General features: G+C 48.9%; 6 annotated features.

The window, feature by feature from the left end:
* Positions 4,043 to 4,092: an enhancer, noted in NCBI's record as "active region_11539". NCBI's record gives its function as "activates an Ori minimal core promoter by ATAC-STARR-seq in GM12878 lymphoblastoid cells {active_cell/tissue: GM12878}" and the evidence as "EXISTENCE:reporter gene assay evidence [ECO:0000049][PMID:35858748]".
* Positions 11,501 to 12,000: an enhancer, noted in NCBI's record as "H3K27ac hESC enhancer chr17:4286079-4286578 (GRCh37/hg19 assembly coordinates)". NCBI's record gives its function as "activates a minimal SCP1, AML or CMV promoter by ChIP-STARR-seq in primed H9 embryonic stem cells {active_cell/tissue: H9 hESC(primed)}" and the evidence as "EXISTENCE:reporter gene assay evidence [ECO:0000049][PMID:30033119]".
* Positions 22,342 to 22,391: a silencer, noted in NCBI's record as "silent region_8037". NCBI's record gives its function as "represses an Ori minimal core promoter by ATAC-STARR-seq in GM12878 lymphoblastoid cells {active_cell/tissue: GM12878}" and the evidence as "EXISTENCE:reporter gene assay evidence [ECO:0000049][PMID:35858748]".
* Positions 24,411 to 25,181: an enhancer, noted in NCBI's record as "OCT4-NANOG-H3K27ac-H3K4me1 hESC enhancer chr17:4298989-4299759 (GRCh37/hg19 assembly coordinates)". NCBI's record gives its function as "activates a minimal SCP1, AML or CMV promoter by ChIP-STARR-seq in naive and primed H9 embryonic stem cells {active_cell/tissue: H9 hESC(naive and primed)}" and the evidence as "EXISTENCE:reporter gene assay evidence [ECO:0000049][PMID:30033119]".
* Positions 24,765 to 24,844: an enhancer, noted in NCBI's record as "active region_11540". NCBI's record gives its function as "activates an Ori minimal core promoter by ATAC-STARR-seq in GM12878 lymphoblastoid cells {active_cell/tissue: GM12878}" and the evidence as "EXISTENCE:reporter gene assay evidence [ECO:0000049][PMID:35858748]".
* Positions 25,182 to 25,951: an enhancer, noted in NCBI's record as "OCT4-NANOG-H3K27ac-H3K4me1 hESC enhancer chr17:4299760-4300529 (GRCh37/hg19 assembly coordinates)". NCBI's record gives its function as "activates a minimal SCP1, AML or CMV promoter by ChIP-STARR-seq in primed H9 embryonic stem cells {active_cell/tissue: H9 hESC(primed)}" and the evidence as "EXISTENCE:reporter gene assay evidence [ECO:0000049][PMID:30033119]".

Below are 26,784 nucleotides of genomic sequence, written 5' to 3' on the forward strand. Positions count from 1 at the left end.
AGAAAATTTAAAAACTGTCCGGGTGCGGTGGCTCATGCCTATAATCCCAGTACTTTGGGAGGCCGGGGCGGGTGGATAACCTGAGGTCAGGAGTTCGAGACCAGCCTGGCCAACATGGTGAAATCCCGTCTCTACTAAAAATACAAAAATTAGCCAGGCATGGTGGCAGGCACGTGTAATCCCAGCTACTCGGGAGGCTGAGGCAGGAGAATCGCTTGAAACCAGAAGGCAGAGGTTGCAGTGAGCCGATATTGCACCATTGCACTCTAGCCTGGGGGACAAGAGCGAGACTTCGTCTAAAAAAAAAAAATTAAAAAATTAACCAGACATGGCAGAACATGCCTGTAGTCCCAGCTATTCAGGAGGGTTGAGGTGGGAAGATCCCTTGAGCCCAGGAAGTTGAGACTGCAGTGAGCCATGATCACACCACTGCACTCCAGCCTGGACAAAAGAGCAAGACCCTGTTTCCAAAAAAAAAAAAAAAATCAGCATTGGATTATGATAAGTGATAAGATGGAAATGAATAGGGTGTGTGAACAACTGAGGAATAGGGTCTGTTCTAGATAAAATAGGGAAGGCCTTTGAAAAGATTTTAATTAGAATGAGATTACAAACAGGATATGCCATTTGATGATTCTGGGGACGAGCATTCCAGGCAGAGCAAATGGTTACTGCTAAAGCCCAGTGGTAGGAAAGACTCTCAATTGAGAATTATCAGCTGCTACAAAGAAAGACTAGAAAGGGTGGGGTGGGATGCGGTGGCTCAAGCCTGTTATTCCAACACTTTGGGAAGCTGAGGCAGGAGGATTTCTTGAGCCCAGGAGTTTGAGGCCAGTCTGGGCAGCATCGTGAGACCCACCCCACCCTCTCCCCCACGGCCCGCAAGTCCCAGCCGTCTCATTTTTTTAAATAATAAAAAATAAATTTAAAATTTAAAAAAATAATAAAAAGGCCAGAAAGGAGATCAGCATGGATGGGCAGCTCCATTACAGCCTAATGAAAAAGCGGCTGTAAGTGGAGGTGGGAGAGGCAGGCAGGTGTCATCTCAGAGGACCCTGTTGACCACAGTGAAGAGTTCAGAATTTCATTTAGTTGCAATAAATAAAAGCCTTCGGAGGAGAGTGATCTGGATTACTTGTTTTTTCTTTCTTTCTTTCTTTGAGACAGAGTTTCACTCTGGTCGCCCAGGCTGGAGTGCAATGACGTGATCTCGGCTCACTGCAAACTCCGCCTCCTGGATTCAAGTGATTCTCCTGCCTCAGCTTCCTGAGTAGCTAGGATTACAGGTGTGCAAAACCGCACCCTACTAATTTTTGTATTTTTAGTAGAGACGGGGTTTCACCATGTTGGCTAGGTTGGTCTCGAACTTCTGACCTCAGGTGATCCACCCACCTCAGCCTCCCAAAGTGCTGGGATTTTAGGCGTGAGTCCCTGTGCCCCACCAGAGTTACTTTTTTTTTCTTTTCTTTTTTTTTGAGATGGAGTCTTGCTCTGTCGCCAAGGCAGGAGTGCAGTGGTCACTGCAAGCTCCACCTTCCGGGTTCATGCCATTCTCCTGCCTCAGCCTCCCAAGTAGCTGGGACTACAGGTGCACGCCACCACGCCCGGCTAATTTTTTTTTTTTTTTTTTTTTGTATTTTTAGTAGAGACGGGGTATCACCGTGTTAGCCAAGGTGGTCTTGATCTCCTGACTCTTGATCCTCCCAAAGTGCTGGGATTACAGGTGTGAGCCACTGTGCCTGGCCGTTTTTTTTTTTTTTTTTAGACGAAGTCTTGCTCTGTTGCCATGCCAGAATGCAGTGGCACTGACTGCAACCTCCACCTCTTGGGTTCAAGTTATTGTCCTGCCTTAGCCTCCCAAGTAGCTGGGATTACAGGCACCCACCACCACGCCCAGCTAATTTTTGTGTTTTTAGTAGAGACGGGGTTTCATCATGTTGGCCAGGATGGTCTCAATCTCCTGACCTTGTAATCCTCCCGCCTCAGCCTCCCAAAGTACTGGGAATACAGGCGTGAGCCACCGTGCCTGGCCACCAGATTTACATTTTTTAAATCTCATTTTGTAATTTATTGAAAAGAGGGCTGGGTGTAGTGGCTCACGCCTGTAATCTCAGCACTTTGGGAGGCTGTAGTGGGAGGAGCGCTTGAGCCCAGGAATTCTAGACCAGCCTGGGCAACATGGTGAGACCCCGTCTCTTAAAAAAATGGAAAGAAAAAAAGAGGGAAAAAAATAAAAGAGAAAACATTGCTAGAAGACAAGTTAGAAGTCTATCACAGAAGATAAGGCAAAGTTCCTGATGGTTTGAACCAGAATAGGAGCAAGGATGATAAAATTTGTCAGGAGAGTGGAATGGGAAAGGATTTGAAATACAGTTTTAAATTTAAATGGAAAGGTCTTGCTAATAAATGTGGGTGGGGGGAAGGGGAAGAATCAAGGATGATTCCTGGGTTTATGACTTCTGGAATAACTGGTTTGATTTCAAAATGGGGAAGAGTATAGGGTTTGGAGTGATACCAAGTCATCTATTTTGGATGAGTTATGTTTTGTTTGTTTATTAGACATCCAATCAGAGGTGTCACATTAGCATATGCTAATAAGACAAGCTCAGCAAAGAGACCAAAGCTACAGACATAAATTTGTAGAGGTCAGTGTTAGGTTTCCTGGGGAGAATGTGTAATGATGTTTAAAAACAAAACAAAAAAGCAGCCCGGGCAACATAGTGACATAGTGAGACTCCCTCTCTACAAAAAAATGAAAACAATTTACCTAGGCATGGTGGCGCATGCCTGTAGTCCTAGCTACTCAGGAGACTAAGGCAGGAGGATGGCTTGAGCCCAGGAGTTTAAGGCTACAGTGAGCTATGATAGCACCACCACACTCCAGCCTGAGTGACACAGTAAGACAATATCTGTAAAAAAAAAAAAAAAAATTAAAAATAGGCCGGGTGCTGTCGCTCACACCTGTAATCCCAGCACCTTGGGAGGCTGAGGCAGGTGGATCACCTGAGATCAGGAGTTCGAGACAGGCCTGGCAAGCATGGTGAAACCCCTTCTCTACTGAAAATACAAAATTAGCCAGGTGTGGTGGCAGGCGTCTGTACTCCCAGCTACTCGGGAGGCTGAGGTGAGAGAATCACTTGAACCTGGGAGGTGGAGGGTGCAGTGAGCCAAGATCGCACCATTGCACTCCAGCCTGGGTGACAGAGTGAGACTCCATCTCAAAAAAAATAAAAATAATAAAAAATAAAAAATAGGCCTGGCGCTGTGGCTCATGCCTGTAATCCCAGCACTTTGGGAGGCTGAGGTGGGCGGATCACTTGAGGTCAGGAGTTCGAGCCCAGCCTGGCCAACATGGTGAAACCCCTTCTCTACTAAAAATATAAAAATTAGCCAGGCGTGTTGGCGCGTGCCTGTAATCCCAGCAACTCAGGAGGCTGAGGCAGGAGAATCGCTGGAACCCGGGAGGCGGAGGTTGCAGTGAGCTGAGATCGCGCCATTGCACTCAAGCCTGGGCAACAGAGTGAGACTATGTCTCCAAAAAATAAAGAAATAAATAAAAATAAAATAAAAAATAACAATAAAAAGGCCTAAAAATGAGCCCTGAAGCACCCCAAGATTTAGAGGTCAGATGGAGAAGGAGCCAGCAATGGAGGCTGAGAAAGAAAAGACAAAAGAGGAGAGAAACTTGGTGTGGTTTCGCAAAAGCCAAGATGAGAAAATGTTCCCAGAAAGAAGGAATGATCAACAACTCCATGCTGCTGAGAAGTAGAGAAAGACGAAGGCTGAGAGGTGTGCTTTGAATTCTGAAACCGGGAAGTTGCTGCTGACCCTGATGGAGGATGTTGATGGAGCAGTGTTGAGGGCTGTCAGAGCAGCGTGGGCTGAAGGTTGAGTAGAGGGCAAGGAGGTGGAGGTTTCAATGCTGGGAGTTTATTTGAGGTTTGTGGTCATGAACTGAAAGTGCAACCTGTAGGTCCAGTTGAGGTTTTTCTTATTTTTTTTTCCAGTAATGTTCAGTTGCTCAGGTGCAGTTATGACTTGTAGTTGGGTTCATTCAGGCTTGAGGATCAGCCAGGCAAGTAAAACGGAGAGAGAGGGAGACAAACAGCTGAGTTGGTTGAGGGTGTATGCAGAGAAGGGTTGTAGTAATGGACTATTCTCTAAGCTTGGAAGAGAAGGAAGACAAAACAGAAGGGAAATGACGGATAGTGAAAAATGGTACACAGAACGGGGTCCTGTTGAGGTGGAAGAGTTGCATGGTGTGAACACTAAATCAAGTAAGCTGGAAGGATAAGAAATGGTGGTCAGGGTGGGTGGCTGGAAACTGAGAATCAGGGGGTGGTGCAGTTTTGGGTGACAAGACTGTCTCATGTGAACATAGGCCAGCTGGTGGGAAGGGGAGAAGAGGAAGTCAAGTGGTGACAGGCAGGGGTACTGGATGGGTCATCCACGTGGGTAATTAGGTCCCCAAGGAGAAGGGCTGGAGTAGAAGGAAGAGAAGGGCTGTGAGGCAGGAACCAAAGTTCGTGATGAGGGGGTCTGCCGGTCACAGCACCAAAGGGGAGTAACAAGTGCTGCAGCTGGATGGCATTAACCTCAAACGAGCTAGGGGCTGGCCGGGCGTGGTAGGTCACACCTGTAATCCCCAAAATTTGGGAGGCCAAGAATGGGCAGATCGCTTGAGGCCAGAAGTTCGACCAGCCTGGCCAACGTGGTGAAACCCCGTCTCTACTGAAAATACAAACATTAGCCTGGCATGGTGGCACACCTGTAGTTCCAGCTACTCAGGAGGCTGAGGCAGGAGAATCACTTGAAACCGGGAGGCAGAGGTTGCAGTGAGCTGAAATTGCACCAGCCTGGGCAACAGAGTGAGACTCTGTCTCAAAAAAAATAAAATAAAAAAGAAACAGGTTCTCAAACTCCTGGCCTCAAGCCACCTTTTCCCTCTCAGCCTCCCAGAGTGTTGGGTTTACACTTGTGAGCCACTGCACCTGGGCCCTTGCTTTTTTGTTTGTTTGTTTCTGTTTTTTGAGATGGAGTCTTGCTCTGTCGCCCAGGCTGGAGTGTAGTGGCACGATCTCGGCTCACTGCAACCTCCGCCTCCTGAGTTCAAGGGATTCTCCTGCCTCAGCCTCCCAAATAGCTGGGATTACAGATGTGTGCCACCACGCCCAGCTAATTTTCGTATTTTAATAAAGTTGGGGTTTCACCACGTTGCCCAGGCTGCTCTCAAACTCCTGACCTCAGGTAATCTGCCTGCCTCGGCCTCCCAAAGTGCTGGGATTACAGGCGTGAGCCACTGCGCCCAGCCTTTATTTTTATGTATTTATTTTTTTGAGACGGAGTCTTGCTCTGTCACCCAGGCTGGAGTACCGTGGCATGATCTCTGCTCACTGCAGCCTCTGCCTCCCGGGTTCCAGCGAGTCTCCTGCCTCAGCCTCCCGAGTACCTGGGATTACAGGCACACACCACCATGCCCAGCTAATTTTTGTATTTTTAGTAGAGATGGGGGTTTCACCAGGTTGGCCAGGCTGGTCTCGAACACCTGACCCCAGGTGATCCGCACGCCTCGGCCTCCCAAAGTGCTGGGATTACAGGCGTGAGCCACCATGCCCGGACCTTTTTTTTTTTTTTTTTTTGAGACTGAGTCTCACTCTGTCACTGAGGCTGGAGTGGTGCAGTGCCGTGATCTTGGCTCACTGTCTGCCTCCTGGGTTCAACCGATTCTCCTGCCTCAGCCTCCCGAGTAGCTGGGATTACAGATGCCCACCACGACGCATGGCTAATGTTTGTATTTTCAGTAGAGACGGGGTTTCACCACGTTGGCCAGGCTGGTCGAACTTCTGGCCTCAAGTGATCTGCCCATTCTTGGCCTCCCAAATTTTGGGGATTACAGGTGTGACCTACCACGCCCGGCCAGCCCCTAGCTCGTTTGAGGTTAATGCCATCCAGCTGCAGCACTTGTTACTCCCCTTTGGTGCTGTGACCGGCAGACCCGCTCATCACGAACTTTGGTTCCTGCCTCACAGCCCTTCTCTTCCTTCTACTCCAGCCCTTCTCCTTGGGGACCTAATTACCCACGTGGATGACCCATCCAGTACCCCTGCCTGTCACCACTTGACTTCTTCTCCTCCCCTTCCCACCAGCTGGCCTATGTTCACATGAGACAGTCTTGTCACCCAAAACCACACCACACCCCAAATTCTCGGTTTCCAGCCACCCATCCTGACCATCATTTTTTTTTTTTTTTTTTTTGAGACATAGTCTTCCTCTATTGCCCAGGCTGGAGTGCAGTGGTGCAGTGGCCTGATCTCGGCTCACCAGAACCTCTGCCTCCCGGGTTCAAGCTATTCTCCTGCCTCAGCCTCCCAAGTAGCTGGAACTACAGGCATGTGCCACCACGCCTGGCTAATTTTTATATTGTTAGTAGAGATGGAGTTTCGCCATGTTGGCCAGGCTGGTCTCAAACTCCTGACCTTGTGATCCACCCACCTTGGCCTCCCAAAGTGCTGGGATTATAGGTGTGAGCCACCATACCATACCCGGTTGAAACCGTGTTTCTTTTTTCTTTCTTTCTTTCTTTTTTTTTTTTTTTGAGAAGGAGTCTCACTTAGTTGCTCAGGCTGGAGTGCAATGGCAGGATCTCGGCTCACTGCAACCTCCGCCTCCCAGGTTCTAGTGATTCTCCTGCCTCAGCCTCCTGAGTAGCTGGGGCTACAGGCGCCCGCCACCACGGCCGGCTAATTTTTTGTATTTTTAGTAGAGACAGGGTTTCACCGTGTTAGCCAGGCTGGTCTCGAATTCCTGACCTCGAGTGATCGCCTGCCTCGGCCTCCCACAGTGCTGGGATTATAGGTGTGAGGCACCGCGCCTGACCCCATTTTGGCTTAAATGTCTGCCCTTCACAATCTAGTCTCTAGGGATGCTCTAGCCTCATCCTGACACACTCTACTTCTGACACACTACACTTCTTTCCTTCCTCCAAAAGGTCTTTCCATTTGGTGTTACAATAGCTTAAAACACTCTTTTCTGGGCCAGGCGTGCTGGCTCACGCCTATAATCCCAGCACTTTGGGAGGACGAGACGGGGGCGGGGGATCATGAGGTCAAGAGTTGGAGACCATACTGGCCAACATAGTGAAACCCCGTCTCTACTAAAAATACAAAAATTAGCCAGGCGTGGTGGTGCACGCCTGCTACTCGGGAGGCTGAGGCAGGAGAATCGCTTGAACCCAGGAGGCGGAGGTTGCAGTGAGCTGAGATCGCGCCATTGCACTCCAGCCTGGCAACAGAGCGAGACTCCGTCTCAAAAACAAACAAATAAACAAGCAAATAGCACTCATTTCTGCTAGATGTATGTGGTTAATACCTACAAATCCATCTTTCAGATCCTTGAAAGAAGCAACTTCCTCCAGAATACCTCTGGCAATCTCTAAACTAATCTTATCTTCCCTGTTTCCTACTTCCAGCTTGTATTACATCTCTTATCCTAGCATTTGTCATGCAGGATTGCAGTTGATTATTTTTCTTTTCTGTGTATAAGCTTGTGATGGCAGGACTGTCTTTCATGTCTTTGTTCGCAGAGTTTAATATAATGATGCTATACAGTAGCACCTAACAAATATCTCCTGAATGAACTCATGAATCCTATAAAATCAATAACAGGGTAATTCTCCCAGATAAGTATAGGACTCTGCTTATTTAATTTGGGTATTTGGATTTGTGTACCTGGCAGAGGGTGGTACCAAATAGCGTGCCTCATGTTCTTTTTTTTTTTTAATCTAAAGTAAAGTTAGTAAAGTTAACAGAGTCTTATTCTGTGTTCTTGACACCACAGAATAAGCCTCTATTAACTTTACTAACTTTTTGTAGATTAAAAATAATAATAATAATAATAATAATTAAAGGAAAATAGGCCAGGTGTGGTGGCTCACACCCGTAATCCGAGCACTTTGGGAGGCCGAGGCAGGTAGATTGCCCAAGCTCAGGACTTGGAGACCAGCCCAGCCAACATAGTGAAACTCCGTCTCTACTACAAATACAAAAAATTAGCTGGGCGTGGTGGCGGGCGCCTGTAATCCCAGCTACTCGGGAGGCTGAGGCAGGAGAATTGCTTGAACCCGGGAGCCAGAATCTGTGTCAAAAATGAACAAAAAAAGGACATCTCAGGCGCGCTCATGTGACTAGTGGTTATGGTGCTGAACAGTACAGGTTTAGAGCTTCCTAGCCTAATTGTCTTGCTGGCTCAGACATTCTTTTTTTTTTTTTTTTGAGACAGTCTTGCTCTGCCGTCCGGGCGGGAGTGCAGTGGTGCGATCTTGGCTCAGGGCAACCTCTGACTCTTGGGTCAAGTGATTCTCCTGCCTCAGCCTCCCGAGTAGCTGGGACTACAGGTGCATGCCAGCACGCCCTGCTAGTTTTGGTATTTTTATTTTTATTTTTTATTTTTTATTTTTTTTGAGATGGAGTCTCGCCCTGTTGCCCAGGCTGGAGTGCAGTGGCGCAATCTCGGCTCACTGCAAGCTCCGCCTCCCGGGTTCACACCATTCTCCTGCCTCAGCCTCCCGAGTAGCTGGGACTACAGGAGCCCACCACCATGCCCAGCTAATTTTTTGTATTTTTAGTAGATACGGGGTTTCACCATGTTAGCGAGGATGGTCTTGATCTCCTGACCTTGTGATCTGCCCGCCTCGCCCTCTGAAAGTGCTGGGATTACAGGCATGAGCCACAGCGCCCGGCCCATAATTTTTGTATTTTTAGTAGAGACGGGGTTTCACCATATTGGTAAGGCTGGTCTCAAACTCCTGACCTCAGTTGATCCACCCGCCTCAGCCTCCCAAAGTGCTAGGATTCCAGGCGTGAGCCACTGCACCTGGCCTTTTTTTTTTTTTTTTTTTTTTTTGAGATGGAGTTTCGCTCTTGTTGCCCAGGCTGGAGTGCAATGGCATGATGTGGGCTCACTGCAACGTCTGCCTCCCGGGTTCAAATGATTCTCCTGCTTCAGCCTCCCGAGTAGCTGGGAATAAAAGGATGTGCCACCATGCCTGGCTAATTTTTTTATTTTTAGTAGGTGGGGGGGTTTCAACATGTTGGCCAGGCTGGTCTCAAACTCCTGACATCAGGTGATCCACCTACCTTGGCCTCCCAAAGTGCTGGGATTACAGGAGTGAGCCACTGTGCCCAGCTGCCTGGCTAATTTTTGTATTTTTAGTAGAGACAGGGTTTCAGCATATTGGGCAGGCTGGTCTCAGAATTCCTGACCTCATGATCTGCCTGCCTCGGCCTCCCATGGTGCTGGGATTACAGGCATGAGACACTGCGCCTGGCCTTCCTTTATGCTTTTTTTTCTTTTTGAGACAGATCCTAGCTCTGTCACCCAGGCTGGAGTGCAGTGGCTCAATCCTGGCTCACTGCAACCTCTGCCTTCCGGGTTCTAGCGATTCACCTGCCTCAGCCTCCCGAGTAGCTGGGATTACAGGTGCCCCCCCACCACGCCCATCTAATTTTTGTATTTTTAGTAGAGACAGGGTTTCACTGTGTTGGCCAGGCTGGTCTTGAACTGCTGACCTCGTGAACCACCCACCTCGGCCTCCCAAAGTGCTGGAATTACAAGCGTGAGCCACTATGCCCGGCCATACTTTTCCAATTGAAAAAAAAAAGGCTGGGCATGGTGGCTCATGACTGTAATCCCAGCACTTTGGGAGGCCGAGGCAGGTGGTTCACGAGGTCAGGAGATCGAGACCATCCTGGCTAACACAGTGAAACCCTGTCTCTACTAAAAAATACAAAAAAAATTAGCCAGGCATGGTGGCGGGCGCCTGTAATCCCAGCTACTCAGCAGGCTGAGGCAGGAGAATGGCGTGACCCCAGGAGGCGGAGCTTGCAGTGAGCCAAGATCCTGCCACTGCACTCCAGCCTGGGCAACAGAGCGGGAGAGCGAGACTCTGTCTCAAAAAAAAAAATTTTTTTTTTTGATCTCGCTATGTTGCCCAGCTTGGTCTTGAACTGCTGAGCTGAAGTGATCCTCCCACCTTGCCCTCCCAAAGTGCTAGGATTACAGGCATGAGCCACTGCACCCAGCCTTTTTATGACTTTTTCATCATCAGAAACAGCTCCAAGGAAGCAGATGTAGCTCTTTAGAGTGGCCAGGGTGACAACAGTTCCTGGCGTGCTATGGGTGACACGGGCAGGAAACACAACTTCTGCTTAAAAGACAGCCTCAGTGAGCAGGTGACTGAAGACAAGGCTCATAAGGGGCTTGGGATCCGTGACCCTGAAAGGCGGGAGGGTGATTAAAAGCAATCACATGTGGTGGGCGCCTGTAGTCCCAGCTACTCAGGAGGCTGAGGCAGGAGAATTGCTTGAACCCGGGAGGTAGAGATTGCGGTGAGCGGAGATCATGCCATTGCACTCTAGCCTGGGCAACAAGAGCAAAACTCCGTCTCAAAAAAAAGCAGTCACAATGTGGGAATGGCATCCCCCAGCCTGGGACTGCCCTGAGCCTGTGGCTCAGGACATCAGCATTTGATGCCACTCTTCCAGGTTCATAGACATGCTGTGAGCAGAAAAGTCCAGACTCTTGGTGTCGGCCCAGACTGCAGAAGCCAAAGAGTGGTGGTGCCCTTTCTGGCTGCTGTGATGACAGCCAAGGTTTCCTCCTCCTCTTCGCACAGTGGGTAGGTCCCTGCTGGGGCTAACAGGTTTCTGGATTTTTATTGATTGCCCAGCACTGGCTGGTGAGAAACAGTACCTGTGCTGAAATTGCCAATTTACCAGTCTCCTTTCCCCAAATGGCAGTGCTGAGACTAAAGGCTGGCTCTGAAATATTGACAGCCTCACTTCCTGCCTGCCAATTCAGTTTTGTCATGTAATAAAAAGGGAATACAACCTCACAGGATTACTGTGAAGATTAAATGAGAAAATGCAGACAAAGGCTCAGCAGAATACTTGGCATGCCGTAGTTGCTCAGAAATTCCCTTCTTGCTTTGTCCTTCAAGGCTTAACATAAATATTGTCTTTTTTTTTTTTTTTTTTTTTGGAGACACGATCTCACTCTGTGATCTAGGCTGTAGTACAGTGGTACCATCATAGCTCACTGCAGCCTTGACCTCCTGGGCTCAAACGATCCTCCCACCTCAGCCTCTGGAATAGCTGGGACTACAGGCATTCGCCACCACACCTGGCTGATTTTTAGATTTTTTTTGTAGAGCCAGGGATCTCACTATGCTGCCCAGGCTGATCTTGAACTCCTGGCCTCAAGTGATCCTTCAGCCTCAGTCTCCCAAGTCTTTGGGATTATAGGCATGAACAGTGGTTCATGACATGGCCTCACAAATATCATCTGACACATTAAATTCCTTTAACACCTCACCTCACCTAGACCCCAAATCAGCCCTTTTCGGGAATCCCAAGACCTTTTGCCCATTCTTTTGTTTTTTTGTTTTGTTCTTTTGTTTTTGTTTTCGCTCTTGTTACCCAGGCAGGAGTGCAATGGTGCGATCTCCGGTTCACTGCAACCTCCGCCACCTGGGTTCAAGCAGTTCTCCTGCCTCAGCCTCCCGAGCAGCTAGGATTACAGGCCACCATACCCAGCTAATTTTGTATTTTTAGTAGAGACGGGGTTTCTCCATGTTGGTCAGGGTGGTCTCGAACACCCAACCTCAGGTGATCCACCCACCTCGGCCTCCCAAAGTGCTGGGATTACAGGTGTGAGCCATCGTGCCCAGCCGTGAGCCACAGAGCCCGGCGGTTTTTTGTTTGTTTGTTTGTTTTGAGAGGTAGTATCACTCTGTCACCCAGGATGGAGTGCAGTGGTGAGATCTCGGTTCACTGCCACTCCCACCTCCCGGGTTCAAGCAATTCTCCTGCCTCAGCCTGCTGAGTAGCTGGGACTACAGGCGTGTGCCACCATGCCTGGCTAATTTTTGTATTTTTAGTAGAGATGGGGTTTCACCATGTTGGCCAGGCTGGTCTCGAACTCCTGAACTCAGGTGATCCACCCGCCTTAGCTTCCCAGAGTGCTGGGATTACAAGCGTGAGCCACCACACCCACCCTTGCCCATTCTTTACAGGGGCCCATGCAGATACACAGGGATAAAGGAACCCACAGTGTGATGAGTATGAAGAGGCTGTGAGCTGATTCCTTAATGGTTCAAAATCCTGGGAGCTGAATTTAACATTTCTTTCTTTCTTTTTTTTTTTTTTTTTTTGAGACAGAGTCTCGCTCTTGTTGCCCAGGCTGGAGTGCAATGGCACCATCTCAGCTCACCGCAACCTCCGCCTCCCAGGTTCAAGCCATTCTCCTGCCTTAGCCTCCCAAGTAGCTGGGATTACAGGTGCTAGCCATCATGCCCAGCTAATTTTTTGTATTTTTAGTAAAGACAGGGTTTCACCATGTTGCCCAGGCTGGTCTTGAACTCTTGACCTAAAGTGATCTGCCTGCCTCGGCCTCCCAAAGTGTTAGGATTACAGGTGTGAGCCACCACACCTGGCCAAACTTAACATTTCTAAGCAACAGATCATTTTTTTTTTTTCTTTTTTCTTTTTTTTTTTTTGAGATGGAGTCTAGCTCTGTCACCCAGGCTGGAGAGCAGTGGCCCGATCTTGGCTCACTGCAAGCTCTGCCTCTCGGGTTCACACCATTCTCCTGCCTGAGCCTCCTGAGTAGCTGGGACCACAGGCGCTCACCACCACGCCTGGCTAATTTTTTGTATTTTTAGTAGAAATGGGGTTTCACCGTGGTAGCCAGGATGGTCTTGATCGCCTGACTTCATGATCCGCCCACCTCTGCCTCCCAAGCAGATGGGATGACAGGTGCATGCCACCACACCCGGCTAGTTTTTGTATTTTTTGTAGAAATAGGGCTTCACCATGTTGCTCACGTTGGTCTTGAACTCCTGGGCTCAAGTGCCTTGACCTCCCAAAGTGCTAGGATTACAGGTGTGAAATAATTCCTTAATATCATCAAATATTCAGTGTTCAAATATTCCCACTGTCTCATCATCATCATCATCATTCTATTTATAGTTTGTTTGAATCATGACCTGAAAAAGATCCATAGGCCAGGTGCAGTGGCTCATGCCTGTAATCCCAGAACTTTGGGTGGCCGAGGCGGGCGGATCACCTGAGGTCGGGAGTTCGAGACCAGCCTGACCAACATGGAGAAACCCCATCTCTACTAAAAATACAAAATTAGCCGGGCGTGGTGGCGGATGCCTGTAATCCCAGCTACTTGGGAAGCTGAGGCAAGAGAATCTCTTGAACCCAGGAGGCAGAGGTTGCAGTGAGCCGAGATCGTGCCATTTCACTCCAGCCTGGGCAACAAGAGCGAAACTCCATTTCAAAAAATAAAAAATAAAAAAGATCCATAAGTTTTGGTTGGTTAATGTGTCTCTTAAGTTTCCTTTAATCACTAGGTTCCCTCTTCTAAAATCTTTCTGTTTTCCTTGCAATTTATTAAAGAATATTTGTCATGTGTTCCTATACAGTTTCCTAAAATCTGGATTTAAGGCCGGGTGCGCTGGCTCATTCCTGTAATCCCAGCACTTTGGGAGGCCGAGGTGGGCGGATCACCCGAGGTCAGGGGTTCCAGACCAGCCTGGCTAACATGGTGAAACCCCATCTCTACTAAAAATACAAAAAATTAGCCAGGCTTGGTGGTGGATGCCTGTAATCCCAGCTACTTGGGAGGCTGAGGCAAGAGAATCATTTGAACCCGGGAGGCGGAGGTTGCAGTGAGCCGAGATGGCGCCACTGCACTCTAGTCTGGGCAATGAGTGAAACTCCATCTCAGAAAACAAACAAACAAATAGAAAAAAACAAATAAAATCTGGGTTTTACTGATTGTGTCCTCATGGTATCATTTAACATTCTTATTTTCTTTATTTCGTGTAAAGCAGTAGTCGGATCTAGCAGCTTGATCACCTTTGGGGTTGATTTTGTTCCTAGACTCTTTCATATGCAGTATTGGGTACTTCCATTAAGAGGTACATCATTCTGATTTTTCTTTGTTTCCTAGTTTTTCTTTCTTTTTTTGTTTTCTCTGTTTTGTTTTGAGACAGGGTCTCACTCTGTTACTCAGGCTGGAGTGCTGTGGCAGGAACATAGTTCACTGCAGCCTCGACCCCCCGGGGTTCAAGCAATTCTCTAGCCTCAGTCCCCCAAGTAGCTGGGACTATAGGCACTTGCCACCACACCTGGCTAAATGTTGTCTTTTTTGTAGAGATGGAGTTCTCCATGTTGCCCAGGCTGGGATAGTCTCTAATAGGGTTTATAGTGGACCTTTTTAATATTATCATCACCCAGCATCTTTTTTTTTTTTTTTTTTTTGAGACAGTTTCTGTCTGTTGCCCAGGCTGGTGTGCAGTAGTCCGATCTCGGCTCACTGCAACCTCCGCCTCCTGGGTTCAAGGGATTCTCTTGCCTCAGCCTCCCGAGTAACTGGGATTACAGGTGTGTGCCACCACGCCCAGCTAATTTTTGTATTTTTAGTAGAGATGGGTTTTCACCACATTGGCCAGGCTGGTCTCAAACTCCTGGCCTCAAGTGATCAGCCCGCCTCTGCCTCCCAAAGTGCTGGGATTACAGGTGTGAGACACCGCGCCTGGCCATTCAGAATCTTTTTGAAAACCCATTCTATGTCAAGACATGATGAGTTCTGCCTCCCCAAGGTAGAAGCTAGACTCCTGTACCTAGCTTCCCTAGCACTCAGGCATACAGTGTAGGCTCATCCAATCAGATGCAGCTGATATCCATTCAGAGGTGAGCTGTACGAGGATGAGAATGCTGTAGAGACACGGAGATTTTTTTGTTTGTTTATTTTGTTTGTTTTCAGACAGAGTCTCTATCACCCAGGCTAGAGTGCAGTGGCACGATCTCGGCTCACTGCAACCTCCGCCTCCTGGGTCCATGCGATTCTCCTACCTCAGCCTCCCAAGTAGCTGGGACTACAGGTGCCCACCAGCACGCCTGGCTAATTTTTTGTATTTTTAGTAGAGACGGAGTTTCACTGTGTTAGGCAGGACGGTCTGAATTTCCTGATCTTGTGATCCACCTGCCTCGGCCTCCCAAAGTGCTGGGATTACCGGCGTGAGGCACCGTGCCTGGCTGACACAGAGCTTTTGAGGGCAGTGGGAGTGGAGGCCCCAGGAGTAGAGATACTCCTTCCACTTTTGAGCTGCAGTGGCTATTGATGGCAAAAAGCAGAGGCTGTGCTGATAACAGTCCAGGAGCAAAATTTGGGTATTGTTCCTGGCCAAGTAGCCTCCAAGCCCAATTCTCTATCCCTCTCAGAGACTGTGTGAGTCATTTATATCTTTAAATACATTCCTTGGCTGCTTAAACTAGTTAGAGTAGATTCTGTTGTTGTAGCTAAGTTCCGTGACAATTATGAGGCTTCCATGATGTAGCTCAATATAGCGTCTGGTACTAGGAGGGGAGCAGTCAAACTGTACCTGTAGCCTCTGGTTTTCCAGGTAGATGAGATAGTACATTTTATTATTGTTTGTTTCACTTCAAGTTGGGTTTTCTTTTCTTTGTTCTTAAAAGCATCCACGGGCAGGCGCAGCAGCTCATGCCTGTAATCCCAGAACTTTGAGAGGCCGAGGCTGGTGGGTCACTTGAGGTCAGGAGTTTGAGACCAGCCTGGCCCACATGGTGAAACCTCGTCCCTACCAAAAAATACAAAAATTAGCAGGGTGTGGTGGCGAGTGCCTGTAATCCCAGCTACTCGGGAGGCTGAGGCAGGAGAATTGCTTGAACCCAGGAGGCAGAGGTTGCAGTGAGCCATCATGCCACTGCACTCCAGCCTGGGCAACAGAGCAAGACTCCATCTCAAAAAAAAAAAAAAAAAAAAAAAAAAGCATCCAGTTGATTTCCACAAGCAACTTCAGTGTCTGGCTGCATTTAGGGTATGCTCAACACGTGTTCCTTCATAACCACCTTTTAAAATGACCTGATAATTGACATACAACTTACGAGTTTTGACATATGTAAGCACTCACGAAAACATCACTCAATTAAGATAATAAACCTCTCCATCACACCTAAAAGTTTCTTTGTGCCTTGCTGTAATCTTTCTCTCTTTCCTTTCACTCCAGCCACTTTCTGATCCCCGTTCTGTCACTTTCTAGAATTTTTTGTAAATGAAAGCAAACATATGTACTCTCTTTGGTCTTCTTTCACTCAGCATAATTATTGTACTTATTTATTTATTTTTATTTCATTTATTTATTTTTTTTTGAGATGGAGTCTCGCTCTGTCGCCAGGCTGGAGTGCAGTGGTGCAATCTTGGCTCACTGCAACCTCTGCCTCCCGGGTTCAAGCGATTCTCCTGCCTCAGCCTCCCGAGTAGCTGGGACTACAGGCACCCGCCATCACACCCGGCTAATTTTTGTATTTTTAGTAGAGATGGGGGTTTCACTATGTTGGCCAGGCTGGTCTCAAACTCCTGACCTCATGATCCACCCACCTTGGCCTCCCAAAGTGCTGGGATTACAGGCGTGAGCCATTGTGCCTGGCCATTTATTTATTTTTAATTAATTAATTTATTATTATTATTATTATTGAGACAGAGTCTTGCTGTCTCCCAGGCTGGAGTATAGTGGTAAAATCATGGCTCACTGCAGCCTCACATTCCTGGGTTCAAGCAATCCTCCTGCTTTAGCCTCCCAGGTAGCTGGGACTACCAGCACATACCACCACTCCTGGCTAATTTTGAAATGTTTTGTAGAGACAGGGGTCTGACTACGTTGCCCAAGCTGGCATAATTATTTTAAGATTCATTCCAGTTGTTGCAACACACTGGGTTTGCCCTTTTGCCCTTTATCTTTTTTTTTTTTTTTTTTTTTGAGACAGAGTCTCTCTGTTGCCCAGGCTGGAGCACAATGGCACGATCTTAGCTCACTGCAACCTCCGCCTCCTGGGTTCAAGCAATTCTCCTGCCTCAGCCTCCACAGTAGCTGGGATTACAGGTGCCCACCACTATGCCCGGCTAATTTTTGTATTTTTAGTAGAGACAGGGTTTCACCGTGTCGGCCAGGCTGGTCTCGAACTCCTGACCTTAAGGGATCCGCCTGCCTCAGTCTCCCAAAGTGCAGAGATTACAGGTGTGAGCCACCGTGCCGGGCCGCAGCTGCTTCTTAAAGCCTGTCACTAGAGGCTGGGCGCAGTGGCTCATGTCTGCAATCCCAGTACTTTGGGAGGCTGAGGCGGGCGGATCACAAGGTCAGGAGATTGAGACCATCCTGGCTAACACAGTGAAACCCCGTCTCTACTAAAAATACAAAAACAAAATTAGCTGGGCATGGTGGCGCATGCCTGTAATCCCAGCTACTCAGGAGGCTGAGGCAGGAGAATTGCTTGAACCTGGAGGTGGAGGTTGCAGTGAGCTGAGATCACGCCACTGCACTCCAGCCTGGCGAAAGAGTGAGACTCTATCTGAAAAAAAAAAAAGCCTGTCACTGACGAGCTGCATTGGAACCACCTGGAGACACCTGTTAATACGTAGCTGTCTGGGCCCAAGCCCCTCTTCTTGCAGATGAGGCCCCAAGAAGGGGAGTGACTTCTTCAGGGAGCCAGGGCTAATTTAGGACAGGAACTCAAGTCCTGATTCCAAACTTAGGACGAAAAGAAGGGGGAATGAGGAGCAGGAAATGTGTCCAGTTTTGACTCCTCTGATTCCCGTGTATTTTTCCTTTGGCTTCTAATATTAAGAGAAAGGCCCAGTACTATATTAAGAGGAAGACCCAGTACTTTGGAACAAGGTGGCTTCCTGCTGAGGCTGGGTCTTGTGTGTACTCTGAGGCCTCAGATTGCTGTGGCCGGGCATCTCGGGTCTCCCAGCCACCTGCATAGACCTGGCTCAGGAAAGGAGCTGGGTAGGATCCCAGCTTTAGCATGAGGCAAGAGCTACCTCCTTTGAATGGGCAAAAGAAGGCGGGGAGGAGAGTCCAGGCAGACAGGTAAACTATGCAGAGCCTGATAGAGTAAGGAGGAAGCCAGGGATAGGCCAGGCTTCAGCTCCGCCCCTGGGCCAGACTAGGGCCTCAGTGGGCAGAGGCAGGAGAAGCTGCCAAGGCCTGGGGAGCCGACCCTCCACAGAAGCTAGCAGGGCCCCGTCAGGATCCACCAGCCCAGGCAGATGCAGCTTTGCCTATGGGCTCCTGCTCGGTGCCAGAGAAATGACCCTGTCCCTCGGGTGATGGGCACTGCATCCTGGTTTCAACAATGTCATTTTATATTATCCCCCCTGCATGCCATCAAATATTTTCTTTTTTTTTTTTTTAGATGGAATCTTGCTCTGTTGCCAGGCTGGAGTGCCGTGGCTCAATCTCTGCTCACTGCAACCTCTGCCTCCCGGGTTCAACAATTCTGCCTCAGCCTCCCAAGTAGCTGGGATTACAGGCGCACACTGCCACGCCCAGCTAGTTTTTTTTATTTTAGTGGAAACGGGGTTTCACCGTGTTGCCCAGCCTGGTCTGAACTCCTGAGCTCAGGCAATCTGCCTGCCTCGGCCTCCCAAAGTGCTAGGATTACAGGTGTGAGCCACCGCACCCGGCTTTTTTTTTTTTTTTTTTTTGCAGGTGGAGTCTGGATGTGTCGCCTAGGCTAGAGTGCAGTGGCGCAATCTCGGCTCACTGCAACCTCCACCTCCTGAGTTCAAGTGATTCTCCTGCCTCAGCCTCTTGAGTGGCACTGGGATTACAAGCGTGCCACCATACCCGAATAATTTTTGTATTTTTAGTAGAGACGGGGTTTCACCATGTTGGCCAGGCTGGTCTCAAACTCCTGACCTCAGGTGATCTGCCCGCCTCAGCCTCCCAAAGTGCTGGGATTACAGGTGTGAGCCACTGCGCCCAGCCAAATGTTATCTTATGGTCACTGCACCAGTATTCATTTGGCTGATTAGAAGTAAGATTTAGGAAGAGTGTAGGAATAGTCTCCTGATCCAAAACTCCCATTGTCTAAACGAGAAACTGAGGTCCAGGGAGAGGGAGGACCTGGCCCAGGGCCATGCAGCTATTTAATATGTTTATCATCTTCTCTAGTGGAACACTGCGGGAGAAAAGTTGCTTGCTTTTGAAATTATTTACATATGCATATATACTTTTTACATATAAAATATGAAATACATATTTCATGTATACATATGAAATATATGCATAAAAGTCAAAAGGCACCAAAAATTCAGTCTCCCTCCCACTGCTATCCCTGGTCTCACAGTGCTTCACCCTAGGACACCCACTGTTGTTACCTCTTTCTTATTTATCTTTCTAGAGACATTTAATACATATGTAACATTTACGTGTGTGTGTGTGTGTGTGTGTATATATATAAAATTTTTTTTTTTTTTTGAGACAGAGTCTCGCTCTGTCACTAGGCTGGAGTGCAGTGGCTCGATCTCGGCTCACTGCAACCTCTGCCTCCTGGGTTCAGGTGATTCTCCTGCCTCAGCCTCCCGAGTAGCTGGGACTACAGGCGCCCGTCACCATGCCCAGCTAATTTTTGTATTTTTAGTAGAGACAGGGTTTCACCATGTTGGCCAGGATGGTCTCCATCTCTTGATCTCGTGATCCACCCGCCTCAGCCTCCCAAAGTGCTAGATTTACAGGCATAAGCCACCACGCCCAGCCTATAAATTTTTTTTTTTTTTTGAGACAGAATCTTGCTCTATTACCCAGGTTGGAGTCTTGGCTCACTGCAACCTCCACCTCCTGAGCTCAAGCGATGCTCCACCTCAGCCTCCCAAGTGGCTGGGACTACAGGTGCACACCATCACACCTGGCTAATTTTTTTTTTTTTTTTTTTTTCAGAGACAGGGTTTCACCATGTTGCCCAGGCTGGTCTCAAACTCCTAAGCCCAAGCAATCCACCCACTTTTGCCTCCCAAAGCGGTGGGATTACAGGTGTGAGCCACCGTGCCCAGTCACATGCTTTTTCTGTTTGTTTGTTTGTTTGTTTGTTTAAGACGGAGTCTTACTCTGTTGCCCAAGCTGGAGTGCAGAAGCATGATGGCTCACTGCAACCTCCGCCTCCTGGGTACAAGTGATTCTTCTGCCTCAGCCTCCTGAGTAGCTGAGACTGCAGTTGCATGCCACAATGCCCGGTTAATATTTTTGTATTTTTAGTACAGACGAGGTTTCACCATATTGGCCAGGCTGGTCTCGAACTCCTGACCTCATGATCTGCTGGGACTACAGGCATGAACCACCATGCCTGGCCCCCTACGTGTTTTTAAATCACCAAATTTACATGCTATATTTACTGTTTGGCACTTTACTTTTGCATATATCTTAACTAAGATGACTTAATTTTAGTACCTAGTTGCCTCATTCTTTGTATTAGTACATAATATTTAATTGGATGGTTGTAGCATAATTTATTTAACCAGCTGCCATGTAGTTCCAAACTTTAGCTATGAAAACAATGCTGCAGGAGAATGGCATGAACCCGGGAGGCGGAGCTTGCAGTGAGCAGAGATCGCGCCACTGCACTCCAGCCTGGGTGACACAGCAAGACTCTGTCTCAAAAAAATACAATGCTGCAGCCGGGAGCGGTGGCTCACGCCTGTAATCCCAGCACTTAGGGAGGCTGAGGTGGACAGATCACCTGAGGTCAGGAGTTCGAGACCAGCCTGACCAACATGGAGAAACCCTGTCTCTACTAAAAATACAGAAAAATATTAGCCAGGCGTGGTGGTGCATGCCTGTAATCCCAGCTACTTGGGAGGCTGAGGCAGGAGAATCGCTTGAACCCGGGAGGCAGGGGTTGCAGTGAGCTGAGATCGCGCCATTGCACTCCAGCCTGGGCAACAAAAGTGAAACTCCGTCTCAAAAAGAGAGAAAAAAAAGAAAGAAAACAATGCTGCAATGACTGTCCTGGTGCATATTATATATATCTTGGGTTACCTGTGTACCTGTAGTGTAAATTTCTGAAAGTGGGATTACTGGAACAAAGAGTTTGTGTATTTCATTTTTTGATAGATATTACCAGTTTGCCCCATAAAGGGGTTGTACCAGTTAACTTTCCCACCAACAAACAAGGTGTGGCAGTGCCTGTTTCAGACACCTTCATCCCCAGCCTGGACAACATGGCAAAACCACATCTCTACAAAAAATATAAAAATTAGCTGGGTGTGGCGGGCACGCGCCTGTGGTCCCTGCTACCCAGCTACCTGGGAGGCTGAGGTAGGAGGATCTCTGGAGCACAGGAAGTTCAGGCTACAGTGAGCCATGATCGTGCCACTGCACTCCAGCCTGGGTGACAGAAGGAGACCTGTCTCAAGCAAACAAACAAACAAACAAAAAGCAAAGAACAGACACCTTCACCCACTTGAGTGATTTTGTTTTGTTTGTTTTGCCAATCTGATAAGTGGAATGTTCTTTCTCATAGTTTTAATGTACATTTTTAAAACATCCCCCAGGTGGGAGCAGTGGCTCACCCCTGTAATCCCAGAACTTCAGGAGGCTGAGGCGGGCGGATCACCTGAGGTCAGGAGTTCAAGACGAGCCTGGGCAAGTTGGTGAAACCCCATCTCTACTAAAAATACAAAAATTAGGAGGGTGGATCATGAGGTCAGGACTTCAAGACCAGCCTGGCCAAGATGGTGAAACCCCATCTCTGCTAAAAATACAAAAATTAGCCGGGCATGGTGGTGGGCGCCTGTAATCCCAGCTACTGGGAGGCTGAGGCAAAAATTGCTTGAACCCGGGAGGCGGAGGTTGCAGTGAGCTGAGATCATGCCACTGCACTCCAGGCTGGGCTACAGAGCAAGACTCCGTCTCAAAATAAATAAATAAATAAATAAATAAATAAGAGGCCGGGCACAGTGGCTGACACCTGTAATCCTAGCACTTTGGGAGGCCAAGGCGGGCAGATCACCTGAGGTCCGGAATTTGAGACCAGTCTGACCGATATGGAGAAACCCTGTCTCTACTAAAAATACAAAATTAGCCAGGCATGGTGGCGCATTCCTATACCAGCTACTCGGGAGGCTGAGGCAGGAGAATCGCTTGAAGAACCTGGGAGGTGGAGGCTGCGGTGAGCCAAGATCGCACCATTGCATTGCACTCCAGCCTGGGCAACAAAGGCAAAACTCTGTCTCAAATAATAATAATAATAATAATAAATAAAACATCCCCCTCCCCCTTAATATACATTTTTCATATTATGAATAAGATTGGCCAGGTGCAGTGGCTCACACCTGTAATCCCAGCACTTTGGAAGGCCGAGGCAGGTGCATCACCTGACTTCAGGGGTTTGAAACCAGCCTGACCAACACGGTGAAACCCCATCTCTACTAAAAATACAAAATTAGCCAGCCGTGATGGTACACGCCTATAATCCCAGCTACTCAGGAGGCTGAGGCAGGAGAATCGCTTGAACTGGGGAGGTGAAGGTTGCAGTGAGCTGAGATCAAGTCACTGCACTTTAGCCTGGGCAACAAGAGTGAAACGCTGTCCCCCAACTCCAAAAAAAAGATTGAGCCTCTGCAATAGAAACCCAGAGGCCCGTCTGTAAGTGGAGTGGGCTTCGGCCCTGGCCCCAGGCTGAGGCACTGTGTCTCTACTCCCCACCTTGCAGATAAGATGGCTTGGCAGCCGGGACCCTCGGCCCTCCCAGGAGCTGTCTCCTGCAGCCCCTCACCTGGGATGAGTAACATTTATCTGGGGAGACTGGAAGAGGCATGTTTTACTCAGACATCCTGGTTTGTCCTGCTTTTCTCTCCCTGAGGGCTGGGACTTACCCTCCAATGCAAAACGGGCAGATTTGCAGCAGGGGAATGGCAAGATGAGACCTGCTTTTATTGGAACTGAGCTGGAACCGATGGGGAGTGGGGAGGAGGCTGCAGCAGGTGGGGAGAGTGAAAATGAGTGAGCCGAGCAGCCGGATGGACCCAGAGATCCTCAGAGGTGGCCCCACTGGGGACAATGGGGTGAGATAGAACCGAGGGAGAGAAGCAGACAGGTGACCCCCGGGAGCAGGGAGAGTTGGATGGTGGGTGAGTTGGAGGTTGTTTGTGGGATGGACAAAGGACATGAAGAAATGTTTGTTAGATGAATGTCCTCCCAGAGGCTAAAGGAATGGGGTAGTCACATGTCCAACCCAGGATGTGAATGTGGCCAGTCTGGCCACAGCAAGTTAAACTACCTCTGGGGTGTGTCCTGCTCCTGGCTTCCTGTAATCTGGTTCCTTGGAGGCTAATTAACACAGAGCTAGCTTTGCTCCAGGTTTCCCACCTTGGTGTAGCTCCTTCCATGCTGTCTCTTGGCTCAGGGATGGATGGGTTGGGGAGCGGGCTCCTGACTGATGGAGGGGGTAGTATGTAGGCTGGAGGCTGGAGAGCTGGGTCCAGCTAAGCCTAGCCCCCATCCAGGCTTCCAGAGTGTGTTTGCTGCTGGCTTGAGATCAGCAGGTAGTGAACCAGGCCAGGAGGTCATTGCCCTCTCCAGGCCTTGGTATTCTAGATCCTTCTCCTCCTTTGGCCCATCTTCCTTCCTTCCTTCCTTCTTTCCTTCCTTCCTTCCTTCCTTCCTTCCTTCCTTCCTTCCTTCCTTCCTTCCTTCCTGCCTTCCTTCCTTCCTTCCTTTTTTCTTTCTTTCTCTCTCTCTGTCTCTCTCTCTCTCTCTTTCTCTTTCTTTCTTTCTTTCTTTCTTTGAGACAGAGTCTCACACTGACACCCAGGCTGGAGTGCAGTAGCGCAATCTCAGCTCACTGTAACCTCCGCCTCTCAGGTTCAAAGGATTCTCCTGCCTCAGCCTCCCTGGCCCATGTTTATTCCAGTGGCTCTTGCCCTCTCTCTCCCACAGTTGCCAATCCCAAATGAAGATATCTCTCAGGGGCAGCAAGAACCCCCATTCTAAGCACTTTAACCTCTTTTCTTAGGATAGCCAGATAAAATACAGTAACACTCAGTTACCAGCCTGGACAACACGGCGAAACCCCATCTGTACCAAAAATTTTTAAAAAAGCAACAAGTAGCTGGGAATGGTGGCTTGCACCTGTAGTCCTACCTACTTGGGAGGCTGAGGTGGGAGGATCACCTGACCCCAGGAGGTCGAGGCTGCAGTGAACCATGATTACACCACTGCACTCTAGCCTGGGTGACAGGGTAAAACCCTGTCTCAAAAAGAAAAAAAGAAAGAAAGAGAAAAAGGACACTTAGTTAAATTTAATTTCAGATAAGGAATTATTATTATTATTATTGTTATTAGAAACAGAGTCTCGCTCTGTTGCCCAGGCTGGAGTGCAGTGGCACGATTGAGGCTCACTGCAACCTCTGCCTCCCGGGTTCAAGCAATTCTCGTTCCTCAGCCTCCCAAGTAGGTGGCAGTACAGATGTGCAGCACCACACCGGTCAATTTTGGTATTTTTAGTAGAGATAGGATTTTGCCATGTTTGCCAGGCTGGTCTCGAACTCCTGGCCTCAGGTGATCTGCCCGCCTTGGGCTCCCAAAGTGCTGGGATTACAGGCGTGAGCCATCACGCCCGACTAATTTTTCAGTATAAGTATATTCCAAATACTGCATGGGATATAATTATACAACAAAATTTAGCTGCTTATTTGAAATTCAAATTTAACCGTGTGCATGTATTTTTATTTGCGAAATCTGGCAGCCTTGCCCGTTCTTCCGTAGCAGTTCCAGACAGCCACGGCCACCTGGTCCTGGTCCTCGGGAGTACCGACACAACTGCCACCCTAAAGGGCACCAGGAACTCTACCTCCATCAGCTCGCAGATGGTCACCGTGGCAGCTGTCTCTAAGGAGGGTGTTCACTCCTCTTCCACAGATGACAAAACTGAGACTCCAAGAAGCCAAGTGACTTGTGTAAGGACAAACGGTAACCAAGGCGCAGGGGAAGCAGCCAGCCTTTGCCAGTCTGACTCCAAAGTTCAAGTTCTATGTACACCCCAGGTAGCTTGGCAAACCACCCACTTCTCGAACAGGAAGGCCTCAACCCTGCCGTTCACAAAGGAGGAAAAAGACAGTGTGTGCAGGCCCCCAGGCACAGGACAGACAAGATTCGGTGCTAGAATATTCAAAGTGATTTTGAAACCCAGCGCCTCTTAGTAATAACAATACCAGTTTCGGTCATTTGCATAACTTTCTACCGTTAACAAAAGGTATCCCCAGCAGTTAATTACAATGACAAAGAAGGCACAAGGAGGCCGGGGCGGTGGTTCACGCCTGTAATCCCAGCACTTTGGGAGGCCGAGGCAAGTGGATCACCTGAGGTTAGGAGCTCAGCCTGGCCAACATGGTGAAACCCCATCTCTACTAAAAGTACAAAAAATTAGCCGGGTGTGGTGGCACATGCCTGTAATCTCAGCTACTCGGGAGCTGAGGCAGGAGAATCGCTGCAATCCGGGAGGCGGAGGTTGCAGTGAGCTGAGATCGCGCCACTGCACTCCAGCCTGGGCAACAAGAGCGAGACTCCGTCTCAAAAAACAAAACAAAACAAACAAACAAAAAAAGAAGGCAGATGGGAGAGAGAATGGTCTGTAGGATCCCTCTGCAGACCCTGGGACGTTTCCTGTGCTCCCACTGGACATGGCTGGGGTGGGTGGGTGGGTGCTGGGCAGATCCTTCTGGGCCAACTTCCAGGAGCTTCTAGATGAGGGTCCTGAAGTCACAGGCTCTGAGCGTGGGTCTGGGCAGCGCACAGAGGGCTTGGGTCCCAGTGGCCAGTTCCAGCTCTGCCTGCAGGACCCCAGTGTTGGCGAACATGCCATCGGTTACAGTTCCTGACACCACCTGCTGGACTGGATTCCAGGCGGTGTAAACCAGTCTCTGCTCTCAGGGAGGGTCTGAAAGACGACGGATCCTTTGAGGGAGGGAACTGGGAGCCCAGGCCCTCAAGATGGGTTAGGAGTAAACTGGAGGGGAGGGGCTTGGGACACCTGCCGGGGGAGTCCAGGGTGGGGTAAGACGCTGGAGAAAATATGATCAAAATGAGACTTATGTAAATCAAATCTCGTTTGGTTGCAGATCTTTTACTGCTGTTTTGATCTGCCATTGGCAGAGACTGCTGACTACTTGGGCTTTTGAGTTTTTCTTCCCCTTTTTACGTGCCATGTGGGGCAGGGGGCGGGAGGAGGTGGGGTGCCCTTTAGGCCACCAGGTTTTGTTTTTGTTTTTTGAGACAGAGTCTCGCTCTGTTGCCCAGGCTGGAGTGCAATGGCGTGATCTTGGCTCACTGCAACCTCCACTTCCCGGGTTCAAGCGATTCTCTTGCCTCAGCCTCCTGAGTAGCTGGGACTACAGGTGCGTGCCACCATGCCCGGCTAATTTTTTTTGTGTGTGTGTGTTTTTAGTAGAGATGGGGTTTCACCGTGTTAGCCAGGATGGTCTCGAACTCCTGATCTTGTGATCCGCCCGCCTCGGCCTCCCAAAGTGCTGGGATTACAGGCGTGAGCCACCGTGCCCAGCCATTTTTCTTTTCTTTTCTTCCTTTTTCTTTTTCTTTCTTTTTTTTTTTTTTTTTGAGACAGGGTTTCACTCTGTCTCCCAGGCTGGAGTGCAGTGGCACGATCTCACCTCACTGCAACCTCCACCTCCCGGGTTCAAGCGATTCTCCTGCCTCAGCCTCTTGAGTAGCTGGGATTACAGACACCTGCCACCACACCCAGCTAATTTTTTATTTTTAGTAGAGACGGGGTTTCACCATATTGGTCAGGATGGTCTCGAACTTCTGACCTCAGGTCATCTGCCACCTCGGCCTCCCAAGGTGTGCTTACAGGCATGAGCCACCACACCCGGCCTTAGGCCATCAGGGTTTAAGGAGTG

This window comes from Homo sapiens, chromosome 17 (genome assembly GCF_000001405.40).
Source record: "Homo sapiens chromosome 17, GRCh38.p14 Primary Assembly".
NCBI classification, from domain to species: domain Eukaryota; kingdom Metazoa; phylum Chordata; class Mammalia; order Primates; family Hominidae; genus Homo; species Homo sapiens.